This window comes from Homo sapiens, chromosome 6 (assembly GCF_000001405.40).
Source record: "Homo sapiens chromosome 6, GRCh38.p14 Primary Assembly".
Lineage (NCBI taxonomy): Eukaryota > Metazoa > Chordata > Mammalia > Primates > Hominidae > Homo > Homo sapiens.
Window position 1 is genome coordinate 68,049,869 of NC_000006.12, and position 11,820 is coordinate 68,061,688.

The 11,820-nt window shown below is 31.6% G+C and overlaps 1 long non-coding RNA gene across 1 annotated transcript, besides 1 other annotated feature; it reads left to right on the top strand.

Annotated features, from left to right (window-relative positions):
* Positions 956–1,156: a silencer, noted in NCBI's record as "peak5879 fragment used in MPRA reporter construct". NCBI's record gives its function as "represses an SCP1 promoter by STARR-seq MPRAs in K562 erythroleukemia cells {active_cell/tissue: K562}" and the evidence as "EXISTENCE:reporter gene assay evidence [ECO:0000049][PMID:32103011]".
* Positions 5,483–10,634, top strand: LOC102723883 (uncharacterized). The gene is made up of 2 exons (NR_125869.1): positions 5,483–5,567; positions 10,228–10,634. It is a non-coding gene; the product is annotated as an uncharacterized LOC102723883 (long non-coding RNA).
* Positions 10,635–11,820: the final 1,186 nt, after the last annotated feature.

Genomic DNA, 11,820 nt, shown 5'->3' on the forward strand with positions numbered 1-11,820 from the left:
ATAATTTAAATCAGCCAACTGTTTCATTCTGAGAAGAGTTTACTAATGTGTGAATTTCATTGGCTAGATGCAAATAAAAACCTTAATTTGTGATTTAATGCATTGCTACCTACACACAGCCAAATATCACACACTTTCTCCAGGTGAAAGTGCCTGGAAATACGCAAAAACCAAACAAAACAAAACACATTAGTTTTGAAAATTTTTTTAAAAGACTGAATAAATGAGATTAATTTGTTTAAAGCAATTTTTCTACTTTAAGAATAGTTTCTCATACTTTGGTGTCTACCATGTAAGGCAATAAAATTATTCGGATTATTTGCACTGGCACCATGTTTTTAATTTTTTACTTAGTAGACTTCATTTTTCAGAGTCGTTTAAATTTATAGTAAAATTGAGCAGAGTGCAGAGAGCTTCCTTAAACCTCCTGGCTCCCATCCCCAAACCTGATTTTCCCTATGATTAATATTGTGCATTAGTGTGGTACATTTGTTATAACAGATGAGCCAACATTGACACAATAATTTTAGCTAAAATCCATAGTTTACATTTGCATTCACTTATTGTGCTACACATTTTATTGATTTTGAGAAATGAATGATATTTATTTGTTAGTATTTGTTGTTATATTATCACCCATAATAGTTTCACTGTCCTAAAAATACCCTGTTCTGCATCTATTCATCCTTCCCTTGTACCCCCCGAGCACTTGGCAACTACTGAACTTTTTTTCTTTCTGTATTTCTGTCTTTTCCAGAATGTCATAGAGTTGGGATTATATAGTATGTAGCTTTTTCGGATTGGCTTCTTTCACTTACTAATATGTATTTAAGTTCATAAATTTTCAAGGCTTAATAGCTCATTTCATTTTATCACTGAATAACATTCCACCATTTGGATATACAAGTTTCTTTGTTCTTTCACCTATTGAAGGACATCTTGGTTACTTTTAAGTTTTGACAATTGTTAATAAAGCTGACATGAACATTTGTGAGCAGGTGTTTATGTGGACGTAAGTTATCAGTACCTTTGAATAAATACCAGGAACACAATTGCTAGACTTTATAGTAAGACTATTTTTAACCTTGTAAGAGACTGCCAAACTACTTTCTAAAGTGTCTGTTCCATTTTGCATTTCCACAAGCAATGAATTGTAGTTTCTGTTAGTCAACATCCTCGCCAGCATTTAGCAATGTCTAGATTTTGCATTTTAACCATGCTAGTAGGTGTGTGATGGCATCCGTTCACTGTTTTAATTTGCAATTCCCTAATGACATATGAAATAGAGCTCTATTTATATGCATATGTATTCTTTGACATACATGCATATAGGAAGAAGACATACTCTATTTATTATTTATTCTATTTATTTTTCTATTCATATCTATATCTATATATCTATCTAGATATAGATATATATAGATATAGATATATCTAGATAGATATATAGATATAGATATATCTAGATAGATATATAGATATAGATATATCTAGATAGATATATAGATATAGATATATCTAGATAGATATATAGATATAGATATATCTAGATAGATATATAGATATAGATATATCTAGATAGATATATAGATATAGATATATCTAGATAGATATATAGATATAGATATATCTAGATAGATATATAGATATAGATATATCTAGATAGATATAGATATATAGATATATCTATATCTATAGAGATAGATAGATAGATAGATAGATAGATAGATAGATAGATAGATAGATATCTCCTTTGGTGAGATGTCTGTTCGGATCTTTGGTCGGTTTCTCAATTGAATTGTTGGTTTCTTATTTAGTTTCAGAAATTATTTTTACATTTTAGATATACAAAGACTTTTAGGTTAGCTTTGCATTTTTCATTTTTTTTCCCCCGTTTGTGATTTGTCTTGGCTTTTCTCTCTTAACAGTGTCCTTATCAAAATTGAAGTTTTTAATTTTAATAACGCCCAACTTGATTTTGTTTTAAAATGGTGCTCTTGTTTTTTTATTCTTAGAAAACGTTGCCAAACTCAAGTTCTCCTAGATTTTTCTATGTTATCTTCCAGATTTTAGATTTAATTTTTTTGCAATCATTTTTATGCACTCAAACTTCAGAAATTGGACTGAAGAAGTACAAAGTTAGAGAAACTGTAAAGGGGCCAAAAAGAAAACTACTCTTTTACAAGAACTAAGGAAAAACAAGGAAATTGGATGTTCACTACTCATTCAGATTCTCAAAGGATATTGCTGTCACCTGAGACAAAAGAGAAATTCATATCACACCTACTTTTTAAAAAATTCAGCAAAATTCTGCATTGGAGGTTGCTATTTGTGTTTTACACTTAGTTCTACCATCCATTGAGAATTAATTTTAGTGAAAAGTGCAAAATCTGTATTTAAATTTATTTTTTGCCTATATATGTGTAGTTCAGCACTATTTGTTGAAATCACTATCCTTTCTCTATTAAATGTCTTTTACTCATTTGTAAAATATCAGTTGACCAGATCTATGTGTTTCTATTCCTGGGCTAAATTCTTTGGCTGGTAACATATTTTTAACTGTCAGCATTTTTTTTTACTTTATGTTTTTTTTATGAGTATAGCACTATTGTACATTGGTATGCAAAATTGTTACTTTTCTTTTGTAATTATTTTGGAAAATTGTGTGCATTATTATATAACTAGGTAAGAATCAAGTACCTTATTTTATTTGTTAAGAAAAAATAATGGTTTTAGGGGGAAAATAATATTTGCTAAACACAAACTTACTTTATAGAAAATCTTGGATCATGTCGAATTTAACTAGAGATATCTATAGATTAATATACTCATCTTCAGATATATAGATTGTGCTATAAAATAATTCAGAATAATGATGTAAATGTTTGCTTAGTAACACTAAGAATAATAGTTAAGAGGTATTGAAATATTATTATGTATGTGACACTTTTTAAGGTTGTTTTTTTAATTCCTTAAGAATCTTTTCAAGTCAATGGGTTTTCAATATTTTTAGTCACAGACATCTAATAAAGAATAATAATCTCTCTCCATGTGAAAGCATTTAAATAAACCCAACTGACTGTATACAATTTGAGGAGCTGATAGTCCCTTTGAAATCCATCCATGGATGCCAGAAATGGAAACAACAAGACCCAACATTCACAAAGTGTATTCTCAGAGCTCAGCAAAATATTAGTAAGCATTAAGTGATTTTCTGGTTTCTGTAGTCTATTACATTTTTAAAATGTCTACTTCAGCAAAGTTAAGACTTTTCTTAACTACTGCCTATTAGATTCTTGCAAATATTAATGTCCATTGTGACTATTAAAGAAGGGCATGGCTACACAACATTTCTAAAGCTAATTTGAAATTGAAATATTTTTTATCTTATAAAAATAATATTACTGTGATATTATTGAGCTATTACTCAATATTAATAATAATATTACTGAGCTAGTCTAAGGTCTAGTAGTGTCTCTGATAAATAGATGAGGTATAAAGAGATGAGGTAAAATTAACTATTAAGTTGAATGTTTCTTTGTCATTCAGTATCAGAGTTTCTACTATGAAAGTCTGAGCTCCTAGAAAGTGCCATATCAATTTAGCTTTATTTTTGTAGCACTCAATATTTTAACACACATATTTAAATACTTTATTATGAAATTCATTTCAAAAATTAATGATATATTTCATGCCCCCTTCCAAAATGTTGCATAAAGTATTAAATATATTCAAATATCTTCCAGTTATGGTTACTATAAATTATGCTAAGATGGTTTTCATGTTCACAGAACATGCACTGAAAAGTTTCTCTTTTGAGATATTTTTGTTTTGTTTGAATCAGGAAGTTATTTGGAAAGCTGAAAGCTGGGTCGAGTTTTTCAGCTCAGGAGAAATGTTTGTGGAAACAGATTGAGAATATTAGAAAGAATGAAGACCCATTTCTCTTTCTCTCACTGTATTACATCACTGGGAATCCATTCATTTAGTTCAACAACTTTCTCTTTAGAAATACATACAATGGCTGAGAGAATAATTTGTTTGTCATACATATAACGTCTATCTCTGTTAGCTTATCTGATTATGTCATCTCATAACTGTACATTCGCTGACATTTCTTTTAATCTGGGAATATGAGTAAAGCCAAGCATGCACTGAATTGTTTGAATGATAAATGAATCTTTGTCAACTAGCTGACAGGAACCTATCTGAAAATATTAACGTTGAGAAGTAAATAACAGAAGGATAATGTGGACTTGAATGAGATGTAACAGTGTGTAGCAGGAGGGCAATGAAATCTTCCCCGCCAAAAAAATGCACAAGTTCTTGCCCTGTCATGGCAGCTTAGGCTATTATCTGCTGATAAATGTCTTATAGTATATTTTGGGTTAAAATGGAAAACTCAAGTTGCTGATATTATATGGATAAAGATAAGTATGTATGTGATAAAATGTAACAGAAATGAGAGTTCAAAGACAACAACATAGAATTTTGTAGAGAATAATTTCAAGCATGTGAATTGTCTTTGTTCTAAGAGCTTTTGGAGATTTTAGACCCTGTCATTATGTGAAGGGAGCAGGTGTATTCATTTGTTTTATTTATCACTTTCTCTTGCCTTTCATCATCAAAATTTAAAAGTGAAATTCATCACTCTAAGTTATATAATCAAAAGGCTTCATTTGAATAATGATTAAATAATTGAGGAAGAAATATGTAAAGGGGCAGATCTTGAAAGATATGTTATGAAATAGCTGCTGAAATTACTTACATTAAAAAAACAGTGTCAATAAATGAAAAATACTCTCAGCAATGCCTTTGGCATATAGTTACATTTCTGGTAATTACAGAGATTGGGGCTTCTCATCAGTCTTCTCAATTTGAACATGTTCCAAAAGAAAACATCTGGAATCTAGTAGATGCAAAATCAGTGTGTGAATACAGCTATAAAGTAGCAACACACTATCCTGTCCGTGAAGTTCATCACTCTAAAATTATTCCTTTGTTGAAATTATTCAAAACACTAAACCATGGTTTATTAAGCATAGTCTGTAGGGTACTACAAAAAAGACATTCTTAGGGTAGAACTAATGTTACCCACAACATACCAGTCTATAAATTCCAACCAAGTTAGCAAACTGTTATGTGACTTGGGAAATATGAATTCATGCAGCAGTAAATAAGTTATCTCTTTTACATTCTTCCTTCAGAAACAGCCAGTGAAATATATGGCCATAAGTAAGCATGTACAGGATGACTGCACTGGATGAGATTTGCCAGATTTTCTGAGGAACAGAAATAGGAAATGAAATAAGAATTTTAAAAGAAAATGAATTCTCAGTAGAGCTTTGTTAAGTATTGTTTGTATAATTTAAGGGAAGTTATTTCAATATGTTTGGCTTTTGTTAGACATAGAGTTTTCATTTCAGTAATGATTTTTCGGTCATAAAAATAATTTAATTTTCTCTAGTTTCAAGTGAACCTGGATATTTCAAATAATCTTTCTTTTGCCGTAAATTACAAGATTTTCCAGTTTGACCACTGGCGCTTAACCTAACTACATACTGAAGGTAAATAAAAGGACTTATTAAAAGGAGTTGAGAAGACATGGAAATCACATTCTTGTTCCAGTGTTGAACTGTTTCATAAATAGTTACTAGCATTTAGAATTGTTTCAACAAATTGCACTATTTGCATAGAGATTTTGTAATTTTTTTACTTCAGTAATTTTTAAAATTTATTTCTTTTATTCTGAAAAAAATACTTATAACAGATTTTAAAATTTTGCTTATATTTAAAAATTACCAATGCAAAGGTAAACATGTTCTCCAAAAGCTTTAAAAATGAGTTTCCAAACACAAATTCAACCTTTTTTTTTTAATATAGGAATGATAGTAAAAATAGTATAATTTAACATTCAACCACCTTATTGCCTCTTCTAAGGTAGAAGAGTAAAAACAAAGAGAAAAAAAAAAAAAAACAAACTTTTTTTCTTGTTTGTGTCTTCAGGAATGCTCTTACCAAAAATGAACTTAGTTTTTCTGTATCACATATTCCACATCTATAATATCAGGAATATAGAAGAAAAATTTGAAATGTGGTTAAAGGTCAAAAGAATATCTTTGTTTAGTTCACTTATAGTGTCACTGGACATATCATAGCTAATGGTATCCTTTGTCCTTTTCAGTGTTGTAAACCTGGGACAATATCCACCAATGTTAAGGATCTTGTGATGACTCAAAATATCTAAAGAGCTCCCCCTTTGAAATATCTTCTCAATAACATTACACACACACACACACACACAAACACACACAAACACACACAAATGAAACATCTTATTACATTAAATATTATTTGCCTACAATGCTATCATTTATTTTGATGTTCACCTCAACACAATAAATACTTTTGAAATTTTTTTTCTTGTTTGCAAAAGTCAAATCCAGCATCCAAAATAAAGACTTGCTGCCTGAAAAGTCTTTTCAGATTGCCTGGCAATTACAATATATCTTAAGCACAGGCAATATCCGTGGTTTAAGTGGCTACTTTGAAAAGCTGATGCCCCTTCAGATGCATAAATTATAATTTAGTAAAAATAAGTCATCTTGTGTCTTTATAGTAGAATGATTTATAATCCTTCAGGTATATACCCAGTAATGGGATTGCTGGGTCAAATGGTATTTCTGGTTCTAGGTCCTTGAAGAATCGCCACACTGACTTCCAAAATGGTTGAACTAGTTTACACTCCCTCTAACAGTGTAAAAGCTTTCATATTTCTCCACATCCTTACCAGCATCTATTGTTTCCTGACTTTTTAATGATGGCCATTCTAACTGGTGTGAGATGGTATTTCATTGTGGTTTTGATTTGCATTTCCCTAATGACCAGTGACGAACTTTTTTTCATATGTTTGTTGGCTGCATAAATGTCTTCTTTTGAGAAGTGTCTGTTCATATCCTTCACCCATTTTTTGATAGGGTTGTTTGTTTTTTTCCTTGTTAATTTGTTTAAGTTCTTTGTAGATTCAGGATATTAGCCCTTTGTCAGATGGATAGATTGCAAAAAATTTCTCCCATTCTGTAGGTTGCCTGTTCACTCTGATGATAGTTTCTTTTGCTATGCAAAAGCTCTTTAGTTTAATGAGATCCCATGTGTGAATTTTGGCTTTTGTTGCCATTGTTTTTGGTATTTTAATCATGAAGACTTTGCCCATGCCTATGGCCTGAATGGTACTGCCTAAGTTTTCTTCTAAGGTTTTTATGATTTTAGGTCTTATGTTTTAGTCTTTAATCCCTCTAGAGTTAATTTTTGTATAAGGTGTAAGGAAGGGGTCCAGTCTCAGTTTTCTGCATGGGGCTAGCCAGTTTTCCCTACACCATTTATAAAATAGGGAATACTTTCCCCATTGCTTATTTTTGTCAGGTTTGTCAAAGATCAGATAGTTGTAGATGTGTGGTGTTATTTCTGAGGCCTCTGTTCTGTTCCATTGGTCTATATATCTGTTTTGGTACCAGTACCATGCTGTTTTGGTACTGTAGCCTTGTAGTATAGTTTGAAGTCAGGTAGCATGATGCCTCCAGCTTTGTTCTTTTTGCCTAGGATTGTTTTGGCTATACAGGCTCTTTTTTGGTTCCATATAAAATTTAAAGTAGTTTTTTCTAATTATTTGATGAAAATCAATGGTAGCTTGATGGGGATAGCATTGAATCTATAAATTACTTTGGGCAGTATGGCCATTTTCACGATATTGATTCCTCCTATCCATGAGCATGGGATGTTTTTCCATTTGTTTGTGTCTTCTCTTATTTTCTTGAGCAGTGGTTTGTAGTTCTCTTGTAGAGATTCTTCACATCCCTTATAAGTTGTACATGTATGTTTATTACGGCACTATTCACAATAGCAAAGACTTGGAACCAATCCAAATGCCCATCAATGATAGACTGGATAAAGAAAATGTGGCACATATACATCATGGAATACTATGCAGCCATAAGAAATAATGAGTTCATGTCTTTTGCAGGGACATGGATAAAGCTGGAAGCTGTCATTTTCAGCAAACTAACACAGGAACAGAAAACCAAACACTCCATGTTCTCACTCATAAATGGCTGTTGAACAATGAGAACACATGGACACAGGGAAGGGAACATCACACACTGGGGCCTATCGGGGGTGGGGGGCTAGGACAGGGATAGCAGTAGGAGAAATACCTAATGTAGATGACTGGTTAACAAGTGCAGCAAACCACCATGGCACATGTATACCTATGTAACAAACCTGCATGTTCTGCACATGTATCCCAGAACTTAAAGTATAATAATAATAAAAAAAGAAAAAAATAAGCCATCTTACTTATCAGTCTTAGAGATAATATTTTGGAAGATAAAATAAAACAAAAATAAGACATATCTTTGGGGAGTAAAATGATAAGTCTAGTAAATATGCAGCCAAATAATTTGGGCTGCTGTTTCGGAAAGCACCCAAAGACCTGGGAGGCAGTAGAGTCCAACGGCTGAGAGAGCAACATGTGAGGGGCCAGGCTACCTGTATTTGTGTGCTTGTTCTGACACTAACTAGCTCTATGACCTTAGACAAATTATGTAACTTTTATGTGTCTCAATTTTCTTATCTACCAATGGGCATAATGTCCCACTTTGTTGTTAAAAGGATTAAATACGTTAATAATTAAAGCATTTATATGGACTTATACAGTAGCAATTCTTAGCATGAGAACAATTCTTAACACATAGTAAGTACTTAACAAATAAAAAGAGACTTGAACTCATGCTCAGCAGTGGCTATATATAACCATATATACATACATTTTTTTCTGGTGATCTGCATGCCTATTAAATGAGAAGGTTGGATTTGTTGAATTATATTTAAATTAATCGTGTTAAAATTCTTAAAATCTGATAAGCAACCAGGATACAGAAAATTAAGACTGGTTTTTGTATGCTAGTACTTCAGAAAAAGAATCAATCCCATTATTTAAGAGAAAGATGTTTCTTTCTATTCCTGAATGAATGCAAGTGAGAAACCTTTAAAAACGGAAAATAAATTAGAAGTTTATTTTAAAATTACAAAATGAGGACTAGGGCTAGCTCATAGAAGAAAGCTGTAAGAATTACCATGAATACATGTACACTAGTATTATATTATAGACATATAACATATGAATTTCTAGGCGTAAATATATTCAGGAAAAGGATCACTTACATGAATAGCTAAGTTACAGCACTTTATTTTTTTCCCCAACTCACTGGAACACTATATTAAATTTTATAAATATTAGGAACCTAAGTAATAATGTCACTTATATTTATTATACCGATTTTCTCTAGTATTGATATTAACCACTAGAAAACTGATTTATTATCTTCCACATTAATCCCATTTCTTGGGAAATTAACTGTGGTTAACAAGCAGAACAGGAATTTGGAGTGCCTGTTTTGTGTATCCCTCAAAATTAATGGAGAAATTACTACAGGACCATCTTAGAGGACCAAACACTGAATACAGAAACAAAGGCCAGAAGGCTAGATCATAACTGCCACTGCTATTCTGGTGGGTCACCATGGACAGTGCGGTAGTGCTGCTACCCTGAAAAGTAAATTCTAAACTGCCTTTGCTTCCTTGTGACACTCCCTACAGATTCAAAGGCAGGTATAGCTGATGGGCCAAATCTAAGTTATGGGCCATAATCTAGCTGTCACAGAGTAAAGAGAACAAGTATTTGGACTTTCCACCACTCACTCTGGAAAGCAGGGAACAATGTAGTAGTCTGGTAACATAAGTTCAAATTGCTGGGTAATCAAAACCAAAAAAACATACATTTATTACATTGATCAAGATGAGGTAATTGAAAGAGCACGTATTCTGAAGAAAGACAAGCTAAGCTTGCATCCAAATCAGGAATCAGTAATTGTGTGTTATTTCACAATGTAAAAAAAAAAAAACTTAAGACTATTACTTTTCCAAATGTAGATCACGTGTAAATTATTGGAAAACATGTGAAAGCCTGTTGTGAGAACTAAAATAAATAATTCATCTAAAAGTGTGAGACTGGTAGAAGTTATCTAATGCATGTTAATTAACATCCATAATCTACTTTCACTTTTCTTTGCCTTTACAAAAAAGAAAAGAAAGATGTTTGATATTGAGAATTTTACATCTGGAACCGATACTGAAACTTTCTGTTTTACATTTTTGGTTGACATTAATAAGGCACTTCAAGCTGGTGTGGGTGGACGTTCTTTCCTGTTGAAAAGAGAACAAAACCCTCAACAAGGAGCAGCTGGAGACAAACTTGGAGCGAGGAAAAGCAGAAAGTGTTGCGAAGCATAATCATTTAAATCACAGATTAAGTCAACATAATAGCAGAGAAAATGCAGGAAATTCAAAATGTTTGACTATAGTGGCAACCTCACAGAGTCTTTTCTTTGGGATCAACAGAGAAAATGAGCTAAATGAATACAATTTTATATCTCCTGACATAGAAGTAAAGGATTCATGAGCAAATGTTTTATTTTATACTATAATTTTTAAAATATTTCCTTTAAATACAAAGCCTTAACCAACAAAATGTAACCATTAGCTTCATGAAAAACAATAAAAATAAGAGTTATTAACTATTACGCTTTCTTGATATTTCATTATATACACATCCAAATTAATTTGATTTAAGAAATATCATTTTTATTTTTATTTATAACTTGTATTTTAAGTTCAGGGGTACACGTGCAGGATGTGCATGTTTGTTACATAAGTAAACATGTGACATGGGAATTTGTGGTACCGATTAAAGAAATACTATTTTTAACTATCTCATGTACACCATGAATATATACACCTACTAAGTACCCACAAAAATTACAAATAAAAAAAATTTTCATACCATTTTTTTCTGCAATCATTGAAAAGCTAAAATCGAAATAATAGAAGCCAAATAAATGTATCAGAGAAAGTTATATTTTCCCCCCAAAATAAAATTGTAAGTGAGAAATCAGGTACCATTATATGATACAGCTAGAAAATGAAGTAAAGATATATTTTTAAATAAATTTTTCACAAGACACTGATTCTGATGTGCAAAAAAAAAAAAAAAAGAGAGAGAGAGAATGAAAAAAATAGTAACTTTAAATTCTTGGCTGCTGCGACCACAGGCTAGTTTAAAGTTTTCAAGTTAATGGTTCAAAAGATCATAAGCTCTCCATCTGTCACCCTCAAGTCAAGCTGCATATAATGATGAATACCTGTTACCTTGCTACATAAAAGTTTCATCTGAGGCTTTCTCCCTCATTAATTAATGCAATGGGAAACTGGCATGGCTCTAGAGAGAAACATTTGCCATGCAAAGGAAGGAGTTAGCTTTATTTCAAAATGAATCAACCCTTCAGTATTTTTACAATTTTATATATGAATGTGAGGACTTATATACGTATTAATTATTTATTCCCTCCTTATTCTAAGAATGAGTTAGGAGCTTTGCCTTACAAGGCAATGTGATTAGGGACTTTATGGAAGACTTTTTTTTTTTAAAAAAAGATATTTTTAAGAGAAAATGGTTGTCAGGTTCGTACTTTTTATTAGCTAGCAGTCATGGAAGTTCCAAGTGACTGGTAAATTTATTTTTTAAATTAAGACAAGGGTGGAAGTTGTTTTCCTTTTGTTATTTGTTCGTTCACATCTTCAATTGAAGCAAAACCTCAAAATGCTCAGGTTCATGGAAAATCTAAATTTGTTGCATATTTGTATTACCAGGAGTAATTTTCCAAAGAGCATCATCAACCTCACTATTTGGTTTGAATGCAAACTTAC